Source organism: Homo sapiens, chromosome 5 (assembly GCF_000001405.40).
Source record: "Homo sapiens chromosome 5, GRCh38.p14 Primary Assembly".
Classification (NCBI taxonomy): Eukaryota; Metazoa; Chordata; class Mammalia; order Primates; family Hominidae; genus Homo; species Homo sapiens.
The window spans coordinates 505117-528057 of NC_000005.10; the positions used below are offsets into that span (position 1 = coordinate 505117).

The following is a 22941-nucleotide window of genomic DNA, read 5'->3' on the forward strand; positions in this document are numbered from 1 at the left end:
TGAGAAACAGCATCCTCCTCCATTTTTAGCTTCAGAGGCTCTTAAGGGAGGGAGGCTGCTGTGGGAGGAGCATCTGGATGTGTGCTGGGGGGTGACCATCGAGGGGGGTGGGGGAGAGTGACCATGGGGGGGGGAGAGTGACTGTGGGGGGGTGGGGAGTGACCACGGGGTGAAGAGTGACTGTAGGAGGGTGGGGAGTGACCACGGAGAGGGGAGAGTGACTGTAGGGGGGTGGGGAGTGACCATGGAAGGGGGAGAGTGACTGTTGGGGGGTGGGGAGTGACCGCGGGGTGAAGAGTGACTGTAGGAGGGTGGGGAGTGACCATGGAAGGGGGAGAGTGACTGTTGGGGGGTGGAGAGTGACCACAGAGGGGAGAGTGACTGTGGGGGGGTGGGGAGTGACCACGGGGGGAGAGTGACTGGGGGGGTGGGGTGGGGAGTGACCACGGAGGTGAGAGTGACTGTGGGGGGGTGGGGAGTGACCATGGAAGGGGGAGAGTGACTGTGGGGGGTGGAGAGTGACCACAGAGGGGAGAGTGACTGTGGGGGGGTGGGGAGTGACCACGGGGGGAGAGTGACTGGGGGGTGGGGTGGAGAGTGACCACGGAGAGGGGAGAGTGACTGTGGGGGGGTGGGGAGTGACCAAGGTGGGGAGAGTGGCTGTGGGGGGTGGGTGGGGAGTGACCATGTGGGGGGAGAGTGACCATTGTGGGGGTGGGGAAAGTGGCCATGTTGGGAGGGGAGTGACTACCACGGAGATGAAATTAATGTGAACCACTGAGGCAAAGGCATGAGGCCCCCTCACTTTGGGGTGGGGTTAGGGTTGGGGTGCAGGTGGAGCCTCTGAAAGGCTTTGAGGAGTTTGCAAATGCCCTGCAGGGGAGCAACTTCAGGTCTCGCTGACCTTTATCCCTCAGGAGAGGATCTCCAGTGAGGCTGTGCTCTCCGGGAATTCTTTTGTGCAGGTAGACGGTGAGGGCAGCTTCCCAAGCCTGTTAACTGCACCTGTGCCTGCTCACGTGGCCACAGCCGCCACTATCAAGGAGCTCTGGGTCCTGCCCGCGAAGCCAGGACTTTGTCACGAGCTTTGCCCGGACGCAGCAGCCGGAAGCGGTTGGGAGGATTGATTCTTGATATTGATGCCACCCAGAGAGGACAAAGGTGGAAAGACACACGAAAGGGGCCCGAGACGGGGGCTGGAGACGCGCGGAACCCGGGCTGCGGAGAGGGTGCTGGGGTGCGCGGCAGGGCCAGGGCAGCCCGCACAGGGCGCATTCTCACGCGAGGTGTGCCCCGTGTCTCCATCATTTGCCCCAAATGCAGGAGGGCCCGGGGTCCTCCCGAGGGGCCCCATGCTGCTCCCTGTCCTGTGGGGCCACCCTGCCAAGCGGGGCACCACTCCAGAGCTGGGACAGCAGCAAACCAGAGCCAGACCCCACAGGTTCCCCACCTTCTGGGCGCTGCTCCCAGGGACCTGTCTGGCCACTTCCCAGCAGGCTGTTTTAACCCGTGCAGAGCTGGTTTCCTATGATAATCTCGACTTTTCTGGGCAGTTGTAAAGACTGAAAATCAGACTCCTTCAGAGAGAGTGGGTTGACTTTGTTCTCAAACCCAAGGAAAACGAAGGATAAAACGTGTTATTTATTATCCTTGTTTTAAAGTTATTGGGGGCCGGGCGCGGTGGCTCACGCCTGTAATCTCAGCACTTTGGGAGGCCAAGGTGGGTGGATCACAAGGTCATGAGATCGAGACCAGCCTGGCCAATATGGAGAAACAAAACAAAAAAAAAATACAAAATACAAAAATTAGCCAGGAGTGGTGGCAGACACCTGTAGTCCCAGCTACTCGGGAGGCTGAGGCAGGAGAATCGCTTGAACCCGGGAGGTGGAGATTGTGGTGAGCCGAGATCGAGATTGGGCCACTGCACTCCAGCCTGGGAGACAGAGTGATACTGTCTCAAAAAATAAATAAATAAATAAATAAATAAATAAATAAATAAATAAATAAAGTTATTGGGTCAGGTAAGAAGGAGGGATCCGGCTGCTGCTTCTTTTTTTTTTTTTTTTTTTTGAGACGGAGTCTGGCTCTGTTGCCCAGGCTGGAGTGCGGTGGCGCGATCTGGGCTCACTGCAAGCTCCGCTCCCGGGTTCACGCCATTCTCCTGCCTCAGCCTCCCGAGTAGCTGGGACTACAGGCGCCCGCCACCACGCCCAGCTAATTTTTTGTATTTTTAGTAGAGACGGGGTTTCACCGTTTTTTTTTTCTTAAATAGTGTCTAGCTCTGTTGCCCAGGCGAGCACCACCAGGCCTGGCTAATTTTACTATTTTTTGTAGAGATTTTTTTCACCATGTTGCCCATGCTGGTCTAAAACTCTTGGGCTCATGTGATCCTCCAGCCGCGGCTTCCCAAAGTGCTGGGATTACAGGTGTGAGCCACCGCGCCCATTCTGGGGGGATCCAAAGACACTGGCACCCCATCCTCAACCCCCAACACCCCAATCCCTGCCCCACAGACGCCCGAATCCCCACCCCACAGTCGACACCCGAATCCCCACAGACGCCCGAATCCCCACCCCGCAGACGCCCGAATCTCCACCCCGCAGACGCCCGAATCCCCACCCCACAGACGCCCGAATCCCCACCCCACAGACGCCCGAATCCCCACCCCACAGACGCCCGAATCCCCACCCCACAGACGCCCGAATCCTCACCCCACAGACGCCCAAATCCCCACCCCACAGACGCCCGAATCTCCACCCCACAGACGCCCGAATCCTCACCCCACAGACGCCCGAATCCCCACCCCACAGACGCCCGAATCTCCACCCCACAGACGCCCGAATCCCCACCCCACAGACGCCCGAATCTCCACCCCACAGACGCCTGAATCTCCCCGCTACACCCAAATGCCCACCCACACCCATGTGGCTCCAGTTCCCATTCGGCTTCTTGGCGCCCGCCCCTCACACCAGTGGAGCCAGGGGAAGGGGTGACCAGTGCTCAGGCGCGGAGCCCAGCTATGGAATCACAAGCAGCCCAGAGCGCGCCCGGGATGGAGATGCCGCAGGGAGACGCAGGCCTCAGGATGGAGTAGCCGCAGGCAGACGCAGTCCTCAGCGCGCCAGGGATGGAGATGCCGCAGAGAGACGCAGCCCATAGTGTGCCCGGGATGGAGATGCCGCAGGGAGACGCAGCCCACAGTCTGCCGGGGATAGAGATGCCGCAGGGAGACGCAGGCCTCAGCGCGCCCGGGGATGGAGATGCCGCAGGGAAACTCAGGCCTCAGCGCGCCCGGGGATGGAGATGCCGCAGGGAGACGCAGCCCATAGCGCGCCTGGGATGGAGATGCCGCAGGGAGACACAGCCCATAGTGTGCCCGGGATGGAGATGCCGCAGGGAGACACAGCCCATAGTGTGCCCGGGATGGAGATGCCGCAGGGAAACTCAGGCCTCAGCGCGCCCGGGGATGGAGATGCCGCAGGGAGACGCAGCCCATAGCGCGCCTGGGATGGAGATGCCGCGGGGAGACACAGCCCATAGCGCGCCCGGGATGGAGATGCCGCAGGGAGACGCAGGCCTCAGCATCACCATCGCCCCCACGCCGTAAAGGACAAGGACATTAGAGAGGAAGACCTCCCGGGAGTCACACATGAGAACTAAAGTTTAAAACTCAACAGAGGATTGAAAGAGGAGGTTAAGAATTTCTCTCAGGCCACAGGTGGTGGCTCACACCTGTGATCCCAGCACTTTGGGAGGCTAACGCAGGAGAATCGCTTGAGCCCAGGAGTTCCAGACCAGCCTGGGCATCATAGTGAGACCCCGTCTCTACAAAATACAAAAACTAGCCAGGCATGGTGGTGCTTTGCCTGTGGTCCCAGCTACTTGGGAGGCTGAGGCAGTAGGATCACTTGAGCCTGGGAGGTGGAGGCTGCTGTGAGCTGAGATCGCACCACTGCATTCCAGCCTGGGTGATAGAGCCAGATCCTGTCTCAAAAAAAAAAAAAATTATCTCAGAAGATAGAGAAAAAAAGACACATAAAGAAAATGTAGGGCCAGGCACAGTGGCCACACCTGTGATCCCACCACTTTGGGAGGCTAATGGTGGAGCGGATCACTTGAGGCCAGGAGTTAAAGACCAGCCTGGGCAGCATGGTGAAACTCTGTCTCTACTAAAGTAAATTACAAAAATTAGCTGGGTACCGTGGCGCATGCCTGTAATCCCAGCTACTCAGAAGGCTGAGGCATAAGAATCGCTTGAAGCCAAGAGGTGGAGGCTGCAGTGAGCTGAGCTCATGCCACTGCACTGCAGCCTGGGCGAGAGAGTGAGATGGAAGGAAGGAAGGAGGGAGGGAGGGAAGGAGGGAGGGAGGGAGGGAAAGAAGGAAGGAAGGGAGGGAGGGAGGGAGGAAGGAAGGGTTTGAGGGCAGAGTAGGCTGGTCCCATGTGGGCCGAACGTGGAACCCTGGAACTCAGGCGTGGGCAGAAGATGGAGAACCGCGGACAGGCATCACCACAGCCATTCCCAAAACCAAGCTTGCGGTTCCAGACTCAGTGAACTGCCAGGGACCTGGCACAGCAGGTGAAGTTAGCTGTACCCCAAAGCATGTCAGGGAGTGAGAGGAGAATGGGGTGCGGGGAGGGGGAGGAGGCCTCCTGCAAAGAACCAGGAATGAGGAAGGCCTCCGTGTCTCGCATGGATGCCAGAAGAAGCTGGCACAGGGCCTGATGATTTGGAAGGGAAACCAGTTCCCGCGGCGCGAATCAAGCAAGGCAAAGGCATCTCAGAGGGGCCCTGCGGGCAGCCGGCGTTGTCCCTCCTGCAGTCAGCGCTCCACTGCCCCACACTCAGCTGGCTTCCCAGGGCCTGAGCAAGGATGGGGGAGGCTTCGGGAGAAGAGGGGCTCCAACGATGTGGAGGAGAATGTGTTGGGGAGACAGGTGCTGGGCTGGACCGGGGAGCCGCTGGAGGCCTGGGGGCATTGGAAGCAGGAGGATCCGTGGGTGCTTGGGCCCCTGGCGGAGCGCGGCAGCTTGTTGGGAGCTGGGAGCAGAGCCACTTACTGTGAGCTCAGAGAGGCTGCCAAGAGCAGCGACAGAGACCATCGTTCCCTCCAGGCAAAGCCAGATGCTGTGTGGGAAAGGAAACGTGGCCGTACGCTGCCACGGAGCTCTAAGGTGTTCGTGTGGGACGGAAGCACTGGTGGAAAGGCCAGAACCCGTGGGACACACCCTCGAGAGCCGCCGGCAGCACGCTTGGTCCCGGCCTGGAGACAGGGGCCAGCACAGTCAGGCTCTCTCTGAGCCCAGGGGTGGAGACCTCACTGGGCTTTACTGTGGTGACCACTGGGGAGCGGGGCCCAGGGGACAAGGTGGGCAGGGGCTGCTGTTTTCTCGAGTGAACCCTAGAACTACTTGATTTTTCATCTGACAAAGCTAACAGAGGAAAAGATGAGGCCCATGGATGCATGAGCTCTCTGCCTGGCAGGCAAACATGCCCAGTGCATTTTCAGGCATTTGCTGAGGGCCCGCTACCCACAGGCTGGAACAGACTCAGCCCGGAAAGGCCCAGGCAGGCGGCCGTGGATGCCATCTCCTGTGAGTCGATGGGGTCAGCTGCCTGGGGAATCCTGCGGGGGGAAGGCGAGGGAAATGGAGGTGGAGGAGCTGTGGGAAAGGCCAGGGCTGCTGGGTGCAGGGGTGGGCGGGAAGATGCACCAGCAGCACACGCAGCTTTCTCTAGGCACTGCTGTGCTCCAAGACCTCCTGTGGCTCCCACTGTCTCATAGCTGTGCCTGGACACCTGCTGCCCCACCAGGTCTTCCTGTGTCTCCCCTGGCCACAGCCCTTCTTCCTGTCTCTGCAGGTCCCACCCTGCATTCTTGTAACCTCCCATCACGACTCCCTCCAGCCTCATAATAAGGGCTCAGATACCTGCCCATCCACATGTGAGATCCCAAAATATCGAACACACACCAGCAAAACTGTGAGCCGCAAGGAGAGCACTTTGGTCCCACTGGCCTTGCTGGGCAGGGGCAAGAGTGTCTCACTGTTCTCGGATGGCAAGGCCGGCATTTAAGTGGACAAAAGACCTAAATGTAAAAGACAGAACTATAAAATTTCTAGAAGATAGCATGGAAGAAAAGCTACATAACCTTGGGTTTGGTGATGAATTTTTAGATCAACACCAAAAGCATGAGCTATAAAAGAAAAAATTGGTAAGTTGGACTTTATTAAAATTAAAAACTTTTTCTCTGCAAAAGAAGACATTTGCAAAACACATATCTCCTAAAGAGTTTATCATTCAAACATACAAAGGACTCTAAAAACTCATAGGAAAAATAAACAACCCAGTGAGAAATGAGCCAAACATCTGGGCAGACCCCACACCAAAGACAGGCAGATGGCAAGTAAGCCCCTGAAATATGCACGACAGCCCATGTCATGGCGGAGCTGCAAATTAAAACACACGGAGACACCACCACGTACCCGTCAGCGTGGCCGAAACCCAGGACACGGATAGCACCGAAGGCTGGCGAGGATGTGGCCACAGGAGTGTGCACCCAGCACTGCTGGAGGCACAGGGTGGCGCGGCCACTTGGAAGACAGCGTGGCAGTTTCCTACAAACCTAAGCAGGCCATGACCAGAAAACTCAACGGTCAGGCCCGCAGGAGTTGAAATCCTCCGTCTACACAAAAGCCTGCACATGGAGGTTTATAGCAGCTTTATTCATAATCACCAAAATCACCTGGAAGCAGCTGAGATGTCCTTCAGTAGATGGATAGATCCAGACAGTGGAATATCATTCAGTGCTAAAAAGAAATGAGCTGTCAAGCCATGAATAGACACGGAGGAAACACAGATGCAATGACTAAGTGAAAGAAGCCGCTTTGAGAAGGCTGCACGCTATAGGTTTCTAACTACACGACATTCTGGAAAAGGCACAACTATGGAGACAGTAGAAAGATCAGTGGTTGCCACGGGTTAGGGGGAGAGAGGGATGAACAGGCAGAGCACAGAAGATTTTTAGGGCAGTGAAGCTCCTCTGGATGAGACTGTAATGCTGGATCCATGTCGTTGTACCCATGTCCAAACTCACAGAAGTGTAACACCAAGAATGAGACCTAATGTAAACTGTGGACCTTAATTAATAATAATGTACCAAGAACGAGCCCTAACGTAAACCGTGGACCTTAATTAATAATGTATCAAGAATGAGCCCTAATATAAACTGTGGACCTTAATTAATAATAATGTATCAAGAACGAGCCCTAACGTAAACCGTGGACCTTAATTAATAATAATGTATCAAGAATGAGCCCTAATATAAACTGTGGACCTTAATTAATAATAATGTATCAAGAATGAGCCCTAATATAAACTGTGGACCTTAATTAATAATAATGTATCAAGAGTGGCTAAACTATGACAAATGTATCACACCAATGCCACCTGTTAATAGGGGGAGTGGGGGGTGGAACGGCTGGGGTGTGGCTGGAGGGAACTTGATACTATCAGCTCAATATTCTGTAAATCTACAACTTTACTAAGAAATTTAAGTCTATTCGTTTTCTAAGAAAGGGTGTCCCCGAAGCTGTTGGGGGGGCACTCCTTTTGGGGTGAGCTGGAGAAGGCCAGGCTGAGGGGACCAGGACAGCATTCCAGGCAGAGAACGTGCACGGTGGGCAGGCTGAGTCCTGGCGGAGCCCAGGCTGCGGCACCCCTGGAGGAAGGGCTGGGCGTGCAGAGGCCCAGCAGCCAGTCTCATCCTGACCCACCTATCAATTCTGACTCCACGGTGCTGACACTACTGTCCGGCGTCACCAAGATCAGAGCAAATACCAGTCCCACTTTTCACTGGAAGATAAGAGGGGGAAAGGCGGTTACAGAGGTTTCCACTGCAGCAAAACCCGAGACAGCAGAAACTGGGGCTGGAGAATTGCCTCCTGCAGCGATACTGAGACTTAGGAACCTGGGCACCAGGAGGGTGAGGGAGGGGGGCGTGCACCTACTGTGAGCTGCGTGGTGTGGGCTGGGACCACTGAGATGCCAGCTGCTGCAGACTCCAGCAGACCACAAAGCCAGGGGTGCTTTTGGAACATGATAGTGGCACTGGTTACAGCCGGGATGTGGCATCCCCTTTGGAGTTTTGGATTGGCAACATTTACCATGGGCAGTATCTGGGAGCTTCATTTTGTTGATGCTTTTTGGGAAGGAGAAAGGCCGGGAGGAAGGCTGGCAAATGGCACAGCCGCTGTGCCGGGACGCAGGTGCTAGATGGGCCTTCACACATGGGAGCCCCCACCCCCTGCTCTAACAGAGCTCAAGTGCCCCCTAAAAGCACGTGGCCCCTCTGCGGATGCAGAGTTGGGCGGGAGGAGAGCGCCAGGTGCACGAGTGATACCCAGGGTCTGTGCCACTGGGGTGTGCAGGGCAGAGAACGCGTCAGCCCCATGGACAGTTGGGTGGGTCCTGGCCACGGGGTCCCTGAGACACAGTGGATGCTGAGACGGCCACGTCTGACTTCACAGCACACACATGCCACCTCCATGGGACACACGTGCTCCTCAGGGGCCCAGGGACAGCTCTGGTGGGCAGACAGCAGCCCCGGGCCACCCTCGCCTTCTCCCCCTGTGATGGTACACAGTAAGAATGAGGAAGTAGTTCCTGACAGCTCCTTCTCAGGAAGCTTTAACTTCCCACGGCCAGCCCTTGTGTTGCGGATTTAGGTCGAACGCAGCTCTCCCATTTGTCAGCACCTCTGGCGACAGGGCTGCGCCCCAGGGCTCCTCTCCCTCTGAAGGCAGGCGGGCCACGCACAGCCACTGGAGCTTCTCCTGGGAGCAGCACTCAGCCAACCCGAGCCAGTTCCGCCTGAAGAGATTCCCCCACTGTGTGCTGGGTGTGGGCGGTGGGCAAAATCCAGAGAAGCAGAGACAATGGTGCCTGGCAAGGCCCCAGCCCCGGCTCGGGAGGGCACCCTGCTTTCTGGGAAGAGATTACTTCCCTAATCACAGTTGGCTCTAACTAATCCTAAAATGAACCTTCAGATCTTGAGAAAACCAGGATTAAAGACAGAAACCTGGAAGTGGCGCTCACATGGGCGAGCCCTCGGGGAGGCGTGCTCAGGCAGTCCCGGTTCCAAGACGCTTCACACACTCCCTCTTCCTCCCTGACCTGAGGTCTCCCAGGCTCTGTGCCGCCAGGGCTGTCCCTCCAGGGGCTCTGTCCCTCAGGGGGCTCTGAGGCCCAGCCTCCGGCCTGTGCCCTCCCTCCTCACCTCTGCAGAGTCACCCAAGACCAGTGGCCGCTGGCTCCCCCTTCCTGGGGCCCACCCTGCCCCCCGAGGCCCATCGGGTCTTGCCTGTCGGGGGCTTTGCTCACTGTGGCCCCTCAGGCAGTCCTGCCCAGTGGCTCCCACATCCAGTAGGTGGGGAAGGAGTGGTACGGCCCGCTGAGGGCCCCATGAGGGCCGGGTTCTAAGGGGAATCTGCCTTCACCGTCTGGTCAGCCCCGTGTCCTCTGCACCAAACATCTGGGGCTGAATCTGAGGACGGAGCCCGCAGTAGCTGCTGTTCTTCCACACTTTGTGTCACCCCCAAAGCTCTTAAAAACAGGCATTTTCAACTTTCCCATTCAGGCTTAAAGAAACCCTTTCCCAACAAAGAACTCAAACCCTTGGACTTTGGCATGACAGCTCAGCAGGCGGTGAGCCTGCAGGTTCCCCGATCCACCAGAAAGGAGGAAGCTGCCAGTGCGTCCCTGGCTCCCGCTCCTTCCCTCTGCCCTAGCCCTGCACAGTCCAGAAGGGGACCCTGGCTCTGTCCCTCCCCAGGGCTGGCTCCCAGAGCCAGATAGGGGGTCCCGGCTGGGATGGTCCAGCACAAAGCCCTCGGGGATGCACTCAAAGGCCGCCCTCCAGGGACCAGGAGCTTGGCACAGGTCACCTGGTCTTTCCCTAAGGCAGAGCCTTCCATGGGGAGACATGGGGAGATTTCTCGGCCCCCCACTCCTCACCCCAGAGTCCATGGGGAGATTTCTCGGTCTCCCACCCCAGAGTCCATGCCATCAGCCTGGAGTCTCTGTCACAGCCCTAACCACCCCCAGCACAGCAGCACAAACGGCCAGGCCCATTCCCAGGATGTGCCGCTCCCCATTTGTGGAATTCCCACAGCCCCTCCTGCTCTGCCCGCCCCTCCCTCCTTCCTTTCAGGCCCCTGTGGACGGTGCACACACGGGAACCCCTTGGGCACCCTGGCTGCTCTCCTGACTCCACCTGGACACGGCCCCAGGCTCCATCTCAATTCTTCCTAGACTGACGACACGACACTTTGGAAATGGACTTGACACACAGCCAGCCCCAAGGGAAGGCTGGCAGTCGGATAGAACAGGGAGCCCAGAGCTCAGGCTTGTAAGGGCACTCGCCAATGTGAGGGAGCAACCCAGAGCTGAACATGGTCATCACACGGCCAGAGTGCAAGGACCACCTGCTGCTCCTGCTTATCCTCCACAGGGTCCCCTGCTCCTCAGACACACACACACATCCCGCTGCTCCTGAAACACCCACACATTACCGCCTGCCACTCACAAACCCATGCACAACCCCTGCCACTCACACACCCACACACTCCCCCTGCCCCTCACACACACACACACTCCCCCTGCCCCTCACACACACACACTCCCCCTGCCCCTCACACACACACACACTCCCCCTGCCCCTCACACACACACACTCCCCCTGCCCCTCACACACACACACTCTCCCCCTGCCCCTCACACACACACACTCTCCCCCTGCCCCTCACACACACACACTCCCCCTGCCCCTCACACACACACACACACTCCCCCTGCCCCTCACACACACACACTCCCCCTGCCCCTCACACACACACACTCCCCCTGCCCCCTCACACACACACACTCCCCCTGCCCCTCACACACACACACACTCTCCCCCTAACCCTCATCCACACTTTTTGCCTCGGGCACTTCGCTCTGGCTATCCCTTCCCTGGACATGCTTCCCCCTAACCCACAGGGCTGGCTGCCCCCTCTGCCCCAGGGATGGCTTCCTGACTGTCTTTGGTCCTTGGTGCCCAGGAGTGCTGCCCCATGGGATATTTGGGTCTCATTTGAAGTGGGATCCCCACTGCCTACAGGGCGTGATGGGCACTGAATGTTTATTGAATGAATATTAAACTGGAGAGAGCTCCTCCATTGCCCAGAGCGCTGGCTGCTGCAAAGTCCAGCATTTTGGGCTACCTCGATAAGACGGATGAGACCATTCAAGCTCCTAAAAGTGGTTGGTATGCTAAGGGTATTGGCTGCCTGTGACCCGAGTTCTATTCTGTGTCCCAGGAGGGTGCCAGGTTGGGCAGTTCCAGCACCAAGTCAGGGCCTGCCCAGGGTGTGTCTGCATCTTCCGAGGTCTGGCAACATCAGGATGGGGCTGGGTTTGTCTGTCTTATTCCAGAAGGCATATAGCTAAGGCATAGCTAAGATTTCAGCTGACAGTGGAGCATGTTTTAGGCCAGGTGAGCGTGGTTTCTCTCTGGGCACATGACCCACTCCTGAGAGAGCTCTGTGTGGGGCAGATGGTGCTCACCATGCTGAGCCCAGATCTGCCAAAGTGCTCTGAGCCGATGCTGCAATTGCTTGTCAATGATCCCACTTTGCAGGTTAAGTCTGCCACTCCTTGGCAGGCGGCGCCTCTAAAGCCATTGTCATCCAGAAGTAGGTGTGCTGCTCACTGGAGGCTCTGCAGTAATTTAAGGAAATAATTCAGCCGAGGAGCTGAGACAGCCTCTTCCTGGGCCCAGTGTCCAGATGGTTTTGGATGAAGCTTACACATGGGAAGCCAATGTTTATCCCTCCACTCCTTCACTCTCCCATGTGTGCATTCATCCATCCATTTGTCCATCCACTCATTCGTTCATTCCTCCTTCACCCACCTGTGGGTGCATCCATCCATCCACTCATCCATCCATCCATCCATCCACATATCTACCCATCCTTCCGCCCATCCCTCCATTTACTCATCCATTCACCCATCCACTCACTCATCCATCCATCAATCCACTCATCCATCCACCAACCATTCACGCATCAGCCATCCATCCATCTGTCCATTCACTCACTCACTCATTCATCCATCCATTCACTCATCCACCTATCCACTCATCCATATATCCATTCATTCACTCATCCATCCATGAGTTCACTCACCCACCCATCCATCAATCCACTCATCCATCCATCCATTCACTTATCCATATATCCATTCATTCATCCATCCATCCATCAATCCACCCATCCAACTATTCACTCATCCATTCATCCAAGCCATCTATCCATCCACTCATCCATCCATCAGTCCACTCATCCATCCAGCTATCCATTCACTCATCCATCCATCAATCCACTCATCCATCCATTCACCCATCCATCCATTCACCCATCCACCTATCCATCCATCCACTCACTCACCCATCTATCAATCCACTCATCCATCTATCCATTCACTCATTCATATATCCATTCATTCATCCATCTATCCATCCATCCATCCATCCACCCATCCATCCATTCACCCAAGCCATCCAGCCATCCACCCATCCATCCATTCACCCATCCATCCATCCATCCACCCATCCATCCACTCGTCCATTCACCGAAACCATCCATCCATCCAAACCATCCATCCATCCATCCATCCATCCACTCATCCACCCATCTGACCATTCACTCATCCATCCATCCATCCACTTATCCATCCATCCACCCATCATCCATCCATCCATCCATTCACTCCATTCATCCATTCGCTCATCCACCCTTCCATCCATTTACTCATCCATTCATCCATTCATCAATCCACGCATCCATCCATCTATCTATTCACTCATCCATCCATCCATCCACATGTCCATTCACGTGCTCAGATCTGCAGGACTCTGCTGGGGACAGGCACTGGGGACACAGGAGGAATAAGACAGACAACCTCTGCCATTGTGGCATCAACCTGGTTGAGCCAAAAGACCTTGGAGGAGGAGGTGTCCTCAGGAGCTCAGAGGAGGAAGGCTCCGAGCTCAGGAAAGGTGGAGCAGGAGAGATGCTGAGTGTGAAGGGATGAAGCTGGGGTGAGTGCATGATTTGGGGGAGGGTGGAGTCTGGCATCCCAGGACCTGGTACCCTGAGACCTGGCACCCTGAGACCTGATACCCTGAGATCTAGCACCCTGAGATATGGCACTTCGCGACCGGGCACCCTGAGGCCTGGCACTTGGAGATCTGGCATCCTGAGACCTGGCACCCTGAGACCTGGTACCCCAACACCTGGTACCCAGAAACCTGGCACGCCAACACCTGGCACCCTGACACCTGGTATCCTGAGACTCTTGTCTCAAGGGTGGGTGAGGAAAGCCTTGGTGGCTTCATCGTGCACTGAGACTCCTGGTTGTGGGACTCAGCCCAGACGCTGGGCAGATGATGTGCAGGATGGGAACCCCAACTCTAAACATGCCCCAGTGCAGCCCCTGGCTCCTGGAGAAGCCGGCAGTGGGGGTGGCCACGCTGGGAGAGCTCAGCCATTTCTGCAGTAGACATGAGGCTGGTTGGGTGCTGGAGCTTGGGCCCAGACAGGCATCTTAACAAGCCTGTGTGGTCACAGGGAGCGCCACACACGCCCAGAGGCGGGGAGCTCCTGGGGTGGCAGGGAGTGGGCTGGGGGGGCTGGCGGCCAAGAGTGACTCACCATCCCTGTCTCTCTCTCAGCCTCTGGCGGAGCTGCCAGGTACCCACAGGGAGCCCTGGTGGTTCCTTCCCTGCCCCGATGCTATCAGCACTTCCCAACCTTTGCCCCTTTCCTCAGGATTCTCCCGGGCGACACCTTAGCTCCAAACGCCATGGATTGTTTTATAGCCTACAGCTGATTCTCCGTGGGCAGCTCCTGGAAAATGAAACTTCACCCCTTCAGGGCCAGACCCTCCCCTGTGGAGACTCCTGGGAGAGTCTTTGCTTCCAGGCCTCCCGTGATGGCTCCTGACTCCAAACCCACTGAGCATACCTCTCCTGCCAGGACTGGGGTCCACAGGGCCCACTCACTGGTCCTCTCCTGGGAGGACTGGGTCCCCTGGGGACTTTGCTGACCACCCTGGCCTTCTAGGCCATCCTTGTCCCCAGAACCTCCTTTCCTATGCTTCTTCAAGGAGAACCTAAGGGCAGTTCAGCTGGAGTGGGTAGCAGATATGGTGAAGGGGTAGGTGCTGTGCGCATTGAGGGATTCCTGCCTCCAGGACCAGAGCACATGCAATAAAACCATTCACCCCAGGAGGTGAAGGTGACCCACAGCTGCCCTCACAGCCTGGGCACTGAGTGCCCGGTGGAAGGCTGCACCTGGGAGAAATCCACAGCTTAGGCAGGTGGTCTAGGCAGTGTCACACCCCCAGTGGCGGAGGCTCCCTGGGACACGCTGGGTAAGACAGCGGGGGTCCGGGAGTCAAGTGTCGGGTGAGGACGACCTCCTGCACCCACCCAGACAACAAGGAAGCACCCAGTGCCTCAGATTTGGGGCCGGGAGCAGGGAACCTGGCGCTCAGGGATCTGGGTCTTGACCCTGTCCAGTTAAGGAGGAGGTGCTGGAACCCCAAGGCTGAAGCTCCTGCAGAAAAGCATTCCCACACTCCCACAGTGGGGGTAACGCCGCTCAGAGGGGGGTGGGGGGGCTGCGCCGCTCAGAGCAGGGGGCTGCACTCCTGACCCTGTGCCCTAGCGTCCTCCTGACCCTCCTACGGCTGCGCGAGGCACTGCAGACTCCAGATACCCGTCTCGCTCCTGCCTGCCCTTCCAGCCAGGGTTCACCAAGATGTGGGGCGGCCTGGGCCTCCGCCATCACATCCCTCAGCAACACAAGCTCCACTTCGAGAGCCTGCCCCCACCGCCCCCACCCAGCCCCACTGTCCTGGTTTCCCCGTGGGCAGTCACTGCCGCTGCTCAGGTCCTAACCCTCAAGGCGCCACCTCCCTGAGCCAGCGCTGCCCAGCTCTGGAGTTCAGGCCCCATGGGATGTCAGCTCCCACACCTCCTGTGCGTCCACGACCCAAGGGGTACCCACGGCCAGACGCCTGGGGACAAATAGACCCAGCTGGGCCTAGAATCCACTCCCGGCCCCAGCCCCTCCCCGGTTTCCGACATCTCAAAATTGTAACTCCCCCAGTTCCCTTTTGGTCGGGTCCTGTCGCTCATGTGTGGCTCAGAGCTGCAGGGCGAGGTCAGCGCAGCAGAGCCCCCCGAAGGGTTGAGAACAGGATGGGGCCAGGAGGTCTGGCCCCTGCTGTGTCACTGATGACCCTGTGACATCCCCACTCCTGCTTCAAGGAGGCCCTGCTGTCCACCGCCCTGATGCCCAAGGGAAGCTCCCCACCATCCTCCCGGAATCTCCCCGGTGCCATTCTCTGCCCCATGGCCAGGCAGTCGTCTGAGAACTCAGATCTGACCACATCCACTCCTCACCACGACGCTAGGTGGGGACCAAAGTCCTCCAAGGCCTGTAGCTGAGTTGCTCGGGCCTCCCTCTGCCTCCCCAGGGACCCACCCTAGGCCTCCTCCTCTGGCTTCTGACACCCCCGCCTCCCTCTCCTTCCAGGGGCCCATTGCTTGCAGTCCTGACACCTGCCACTGCCTGGATCCCACCCCAGGGCCCCCACCCAGTGCTGCCAGGCCTGGCAGTCTCTGCAAGGCACAGCCTCAGCCCCCAGAGGAAGCCCAGGAAGGAAGGAAAGCCTGGCCCAGGGTTCCCAACACGGACGGTGCAGGGTGAGGCGGGGATTCTGGTGGGCACCTAAGGCCTAGAGTGGCCCTGGTGCGGGTGGCTGCAGGCTGGGGGCCCCCAAGGGGCACAGGAGGAAGCCCCCTCACCCTGCCTGAGGCAGACACTAGGCCCTGCCGCCTCCACTGCTAAAGACTTCCTCGTCCTCTCAGTCTGGGAGGTCTGCGCTGTGGAGTGGCTCCGTGGCCTCGGCCCTTGCCTCCCCTTCTGCATTTTAAAAAGATGCTGTAAAAGGCAGGGGAACCCCAGTGCACACAAATAGGGGGCTTGTGGGGAGCCCTTGCCGGAGCCAGACACGCGGCCTGAGGCTGGTGGGCCAACAGCAGCACCTGTTCCTTGCCCAGGCTCCTGGGCCACCTGCTGAGGCCCCAGCCCCAGTGTTTGCTTGAGGCAGCTCTGGCCCTCTGGCCATCCTCTGTCCCAAGCTGCCTGGAGTAGAAATCTCCTGGGATCAACATTGCTGTGGGTTTCAGGGTACCCGGACTCTTATTTCCCCAACCAGGTTACAAATGGCTTGAAGAAGGCTGGGGCTGTGAGTTAGAAACTCTCAGGATGTGTGAGAAATTCAACAAATGTTTGGAAAAGCAACAGGAATGGCAGCTCTTTTCTGCTGGAAGAGACATTTCTGTTCGTGTAACTTGAGACTGAAAGAGTGTGGCCAACCCCTGACCATTTTAAACAACAAAATGTGCCAAGCAGCTTAGTAGGTTCAGACCCCAGTCCGGGGGCTGTGGGCATGTGGAGGAGGCTGGGTGAAACTGGAGAAGTTCCCGCTGTGGTGCAGGCTTGGGCCCCGGTGTCTGTGAAGGCCTGGACCTGAGGGTCCTCTGGGAACACAGGTCGTGCACCTGAGGCTGGCTGCACAAGGAGGACGGTCTGGGCCAGTGGAATCTGAGAAGTCCAGAGTTCACAGGGAAGGGGTTGGGGGAGGAAGCACACAGGGAGGGCTGGGGGCTGTGTTCAAGAGGTGTGGCTGGCAGAGAGGGGATGGAGGGTGGGACACCCTGGGGGCCAATCCGGGCAGACCCAGAGCAGACCTCAGCTGTCACTGCCGGGGCTGCAGAGTGCACAGTGGGTTGAGGGGACGACAGGGAGCGTAAAGGGCAGGTCTGGAGAGGGTCTGCGCCTGTGGGATACCGCGATGAGCTCCCACAGCTGCACAGGGTAAGGCTCGCCTTCCCAGGTGGAGCCAACAATCCGAGACAAAGACAGCCGCTGAGTGCTATCAGGGTGGGCCTTTGTAAAGGACCGCCCTGCCCCGGGGAGTTGCTGCTGGAGCCGGCAGCCTCCCCGCCCTCAAGGACGTCTTCCCAGAACCAGTCCAAGTGTTTGGGAGACCTGAAGGCTTTTCCCTGTGAATAACAAACTCTGAGGCCAGGCAAAGCCCTGGTCAGTGTGCCTTATCTGCCGGCTCCCAGGCGGGGCTGGCTGGTGCCTGGCGGCTGTCATTGGACCTTCAGATGCCAGATTCTGACTCTGTACACTGGGCTAAACTGGGAGAGGCCCCAGCTTGTACAGAAATTAGATATTCACGGCCGGGCGCGGTGGCTCACGCCTGTCATCCCAGCACTTTGGGAGGCCGAGGCGGGTGGATCACCTGAGGTCTGGAGTTCAAGACCAGCCTGACCAACATGGAGAAACCCTGTCTGTACTAAAAATACAAATTAGCTGGGCGTGGTGGCTCATGCCTGTAATCCCAGCTACTCGGGAGGCTGAGGCAGGATGTGGAGGTTGCAGTGAGCCGAGATCGCGTCATTGCACTCCAGCCTGGGCAACAAGAGCAAAATTCTATCTCAAAAAAAAAAAAAAAAGAAAAAAAAAGAAATTACCTTTTCAGTTTACACCAGGGGGGCACTCCCGTCAGAGGAAAGCAGGGTGAGCTTTAGGACTGGGCGGCCGCAGAGCCCAGGTTGAGTCTGGACCTCCCTGATGCCCCAGGGGCCCTTCTCAAGGAAATCAACTGTAGGAGGCAGCCAGCCTCAGAGACTCCCCCCCGGCCAGCATCCCAAGCCCCCAGTGGAAAGCCCAGGGAGGACAGCCTGAGCCTGGAGAGCAGGCAGCCCGGCGGGGAGCTGAAAGACACCAGGGCGAGGAGGAGGCTGCGGAGAAGGGAGGAGGCGGGAGGGCTCAGAAGAGCCCTTATGAGACAGAAAGCAAACACACAAGGGGCCTGAAGGGGAGGGGAGACCCTGGCATAAATAGGGCAGGCGGCAGGCGTCACTGAAGGAAAAGGCGCCTTCTCCAATCAAGCCTGCTGGGCGTACCAGGTTCCACCAAGGCCAAGGTCCTCTCAGCTGTTCTCCCCGGAGCCTGTCCCTCCCCTGTCCTGCGTGGGCGCCCCTCCTCGGCCCCAGCATCGAAACCTCCTCTCGCCCCAGTCCAAAGCTGCTCTGGAAACCTGCCGCGGCGCCTGCTGCTCTGATCTTGCTTCTCCTGGCCCCACTCGGGCCCCCTAATCCCCCCTCCACACGAGTGACCACCTCCCTGCCACCCCTGGAGAGACCCTACCCTGTGGACCAACACATGAAACTTTGATCCCCACGAGCTCCTCAGGAAGCTGACCTTCCTGTCACCTTGCCAGGAGCTACCTGCCGTGCCCACATTACTGGTTCATTGGCGCCGGTTAAGAAGAAGAGAAATCTGACCGACCGGGATTTTCTAAAAAAAAAAAAAAAAAAGGAGGCCCGCCAATGGGAACGCTGCGCCTGTAGGGAGGATTCTGCTGGGTTTCATGCGGGTAGCACCGCTTTTCTTTTCTGCCCTTGTAACTCACGAAAAAACGCCATCACTCCAAGGACGTTTCTCTAAAAAGCCTGAGAACCCCGAAGGAAACCCGGCCCCGGGGACTCCCTGGGCGCGAGCAGCCTGCAGTCTGCGGGGCTCGGAGCGGAGGCGGGGCGGAGACCCCACAGGGACCCGGGAGCCGGGAGTCCGGGGCTCCGAGGCTGTGCCCCCGCCGGGGAGGGGAGACCTCGGGACCCGCAGGGGCGGCTTAGCGCGGCCAGAGTCGCTCCCGAGTCTCGCTCTGCTGGACCCGAGAGCCGGACTCTCCCGGGCGGCCGCCGCGCGGCTCCGACCTGATGCGCGCGGCCACAACGAAGCCCCCAGGCCCAGCAGAGGCGGCCGCACACCCCGCGGGCAGATCCGGAGACCCCGGGGCCACTTACCGATCTTGGCCAAGCTGGCCACGAGGATCCAGAGCGCGATGACGTAGGGATCCTGCACGTGGGCCCACTCGAAGGTGACCACCTGGAAGCCCCCGCTCTCGCCGTGCGCGCCGCCGGGCTCCACCTCGACGCCCCCGGCCCGCGCCAGCCCGCCCAGCGCCAGCGCCAGCAGCAGCCCCCGGTCGGGGCCCCGGGCCCCGAGTCCCCACATTGCCGCCTGCTCAGCGCAGGGCTGGGACGCGCATGTCGCGGGGGGTCCCGGCTGGGCTGGGCCGACGCGCGGGGCTGGGACCCGGCGAGGACCCGGCGCGCTCCGGTGCCGGTACCGGCTACAGTCCGATCCCCGCCCGCCGGGGTGGCCTTTAATCCCGCGGCCCCCTCCCGCCCCGGGGCGGAGCCTGCCCGCCCCCGCCGCGCACTCGCGAGCGCAGACACCGCCGCAGCTCCCGGCACGCCCGCCCCGCCCGCGCACGCCCACCCCGCGCTCCCTGGTGCCCACCCTCCCCCGGAGCCCGCGGCCTGGAGGTCCGGGAGGTCGCGGCAAGAGCGAGCCCGGGACTGCGCGGCCGCCTTCCTGGGGCGTGGGGAGCACAGCGCGGGGCAGCGGGACAGGCGGTTCCGCGCAGCTCCTGGGATGCCCGGGCAGCTGTGGGTGCGCTCGCCCCAACCCTCCTTCATAAACGCAGGGCCTGGGGCTGCGCAGACCCCACAGGGCGGCCCAAGGGTGCACAGGGGCCCCAGGTGTGTCTTCACACAGCCCCTCGCTATTGTCTTCAGCAGGAACCTGCATTCCACAGCCGGACCGGCCACTTACCAGAACTCGGGGGCGCCCAGGCCTTGCGTGGTGCGCTGGTAAGTCTCTCTGCCCCTCCCATCGCCAGCCAGCATCCCCCACCCCAGGCTCTGAGATGGGAGCCCAGGGGCCCCCGTGGTCTCCCCTGCCCCATCCCCTGCCTTTAGACCTCCGCCCAAAACAATTCGATACCCCCAGGGCTTCACACGGATGCGGGGCCTCTGCCCACAGCCCGCTCCGGCAGCACTGGCTCTCTTAAGCATCTCAGGCTCCACTGTGCAAACCACACCCCTGTTTTCCTCCAAGCCCACCCTGCAGCCTTCCAGCCCCAGACCTGGGACGCAGGTGGACTTCTTTCGCTCACAAGGTTTCCAAGCTCTTAGCATATCTGCTCTACTTTCAAAATGTGCACAAAACCAGCGGCTTCTGGGAGCCTGCAGCCACCTGCAAAGGCTCCTGCTCGGCCCTCTACCTGCCCCTTCAGTCCCTCCTATTGGGACCCTCCCTCTCAGAGGAAAGGCTCAACGTCTCCCGGGAGCTCAGACCCCAGCCACTGCCTGACCCCCACCCCCATGCACTCCACGGCCCACACCAGCAATCGGCGCCTCTCGGGGCCTTTGCACGCCCTGCTCCCTCTGTTTGGACGGCTCTTGTGTGCTCCCTTCCTCAGCTCCCCAGGGGCTTGGCTCCAATGCCACCTTCTGGTCCCACCCGATACCCACTCAGCTCACAACTGTGGCAGCTAAGCTCCCGCCTCCCCTGCTTACTCGGTTGGCTCCGGGAATCAGCTCACCTCCCAGCCCTGGGGGCTGCTGGCTTTGACCTTGAGCTGTCTGCCCTCACCCTGGGAATGTCTGCTCCACGAGCAAGGGGCTCATGCATACATCCCAGGAGCTTGGAAGATAGCTGGGCACACAATAGCACTCGCAAGATAGTGGCTGAGCGGATGGATGATAGATGGATGGAAGGACAGATAGGTGGACAAAGGGCAGGTGGGCGGTGGGGTGGGTGCAGATGGAGGATGGATGTGTCTTCTGACATCTGAGTGGGGGCTGCGGAGGCCTGAGGAGGACAGTGCTGAGTTCAATGACTTCACCCTGCAAGGGCCCCAGTTTCATGCTAATGGAAGTGGCCCGTGTAGCACAGGGAAGGTGCATTCAGATGGTGCTCGCCTGGTGACTCGGCTGCTGAGTGGCGTGGAGGGAGGGCAGCCCTGGCCTGGGCCACTGCAGGGTCTGGACAGGGCACCGGGGGAGTGGAAGTGTGTGACTGGCCACTAGTATGGTCTTGCGAGGTGGGAGCATCGGAGTCGCTCTTGGCCTGTGTCCCTGCCCCACCTGTCTCTGTCCCCCACTCCACTCCCAGCCTCTTGTCCCAGAGAAAAAGCCAGCAGGACAAGAACAGGATTCCCTCCAGTCCGGAGCTTCCCTGCTCTTTCCTTATGGTTCCTGGGTGGAGCCGTTAGGAACGACGTCCTCTCTGAAGATGTTGCCCTTGCATTCCACAGGAAGGCCAAATTTCCACCAGACCAGTGTGTTCCATGATGCCCACTGGACCTCCGGCCACCCCACCCCCCAACCAGCCTGTCCTAAGAGCCGACAACCTTTCTCCACAAAGCTGTTCAAAGGGCAGAAGAGCAGTGTCACTGCCTGGAAGGACAAATCCAGAACAGACACCAGTGCCAGGCGCTGGCCATCAGGTAGTGTGCTGCCCACACCTCCACTGCCCCCCACAGCAGGAAGGGCTGCCTCATGGAGAATAGAAAGGCAATGAGCCCCTGAAGTGGCGTGGCCAGAACAAGGCACACCCCACTGCCCACGAGTCCTGCCAGGGCACACCCCACTGCCCACGAGTCCCTGCACAGGTGAGAAGTGTGGCTGTTTGGCAGCATCTCAATCTGTGAGCATTTGGAGGATGAAATGCGTCTGCACTCCAAGGTTGCTGGAGGGCTCGGGGCAGACGGGCGCTGCCCCAGCCTGTGATGGGCATGGCCTTGAGGATGCCAGCCTCATGCAGAAGCCAGTCTAGGGGATTATACAGGGTGTGCACACCCACTCCCCTACCCTCGGACTGGAGCCACAAAACCCTCCCTCTAACTGGGTCGTGGTTTTAGGCAGGGCCGTGGCACCCCACCACTGCAGGGGCCACCATCCATATCAGGCAGACTGTATGAACCGTGCCCCTTGGAATTGTACAGTGCACAACCTGCACATCCTCATGGCCAAAAAGACCCAGAGACTTGTGTGTGTGTGTGAGGGGGTCTTGGGAAGTATCCTGAGAACATTCCTGTCCTGTGGGTGGTGACGATCTGATAACTGCCCGACCACTTCCTGCCTCAGGCAGGCACGCATAGCATTCTGGATCCTTCCACCGTGGCCTGGACCCCTTGTGGTCCAGGGACCCCCTGCACGTATGGGGAAGGGGCGTGGCTGTAAAACATTCAAAAATGTGGAAATAATGCAAAAGCCAGTCGGAAAACAACTGTAATCTTATACCCAGCTGCCACAGCATCTGAACTTCAGGATTAAGAAAATAAAACTGAAAACACCTAGTCTGTCACATTAATTTCCTGTCATGAATTCCACATACGGCTTGTGAAAGTGTCTTGTGGATGAAGAGGCGCATCCATTCATACTGTTGTTAACAATATTTAAGAGAAGAAAGTTAAGTTTTTAAGTAACTTCCAATGCTTGAAGCCAGGCAGGAGACAGGCATCACTGCCCACTCTAAGTTTATTTTTCAACCCAAAGTTGTCAGGGGCCAGGTCTTCTTAAGGAAGGTTTTATTCCACTGGGAGCCACACCTGCTGGCCTTCCCTTGGTCCACACCTGCTGTGTGCCAGGCACATCTCAGCTTCAGGCAAGAGGCCCCTCTGGGAGATGCCCTTCCAGGAAAGAGACCACCGCGCCCCCCCGTCATGCCACCTCCCGTCAATGCCACTCTTATTGGTTGTTGGATCCGGGGGATACAAATGTCTTTCTCAAAAGCAGATTAGAGCTCAGCCCTTCCCTTCCCGGGTGGCCTCTGAGGCCTCAGGTGGGACCTTTCCTCTTCTTCAGAGATGGACAGACTCTTGACCAGCCTGGAGCTGGAGGGCCTGCAGGACTTGAGGCCCGCGCTCTGGTCCGTCCTGTCCGTGTTGGGCCTGGGGTC

The 22941-nt window shown here is 58.7% G+C and overlaps 1 protein-coding gene and 1 long non-coding RNA gene across 3 annotated transcripts in view, besides 2 other annotated features; one reads left to right on the forward strand and one right to left on the reverse strand.

Moving 5' to 3' along the window:
- SLC9A3 (solute carrier family 9 member A3) overlaps nt 1-19333 on the reverse strand; it is a 53994-nt gene extending 34661 nt beyond the window's left edge. For both annotated transcript variants that reach the window (NM_001284351.3, NM_004174.4), the window contains exon 1: nt 18996-19333. In NM_001284351.3, the coding sequence (NP_001271280.1) occupies nt 18996-19206 (211 nt within the window). In that variant the 5' untranslated portion in view covers nt 19207-19333. The remainder of the gene's footprint in view (nt 1-18995) is intronic.
- Nucleotides 10066-10566: an enhancer, noted in NCBI's record as "H3K4me1 hESC enhancer chr5:515297-515797 (GRCh37/hg19 assembly coordinates)". NCBI's record gives its function as "activates a minimal SCP1, AML or CMV promoter by ChIP-STARR-seq in naive H9 embryonic stem cells {active_cell/tissue: H9 hESC(naive)}" and the evidence as "EXISTENCE:reporter gene assay evidence [ECO:0000049][PMID:30033119]".
- LOC107986395 (uncharacterized) lies at nt 19542-22339 on the forward strand. Its single transcript, XR_001742543.1, has 2 exons — nt 19542-19847; nt 21296-22339. It is a non-coding gene; the product is annotated as an uncharacterized LOC107986395 (long non-coding RNA).
- Nucleotides 20900-21532: an enhancer, noted in NCBI's record as "H3K4me1 hESC enhancer chr5:526131-526763 (GRCh37/hg19 assembly coordinates)". NCBI's record gives its function as "activates a minimal SCP1, AML or CMV promoter by ChIP-STARR-seq in naive H9 embryonic stem cells {active_cell/tissue: H9 hESC(naive)}" and the evidence as "EXISTENCE:reporter gene assay evidence [ECO:0000049][PMID:30033119]".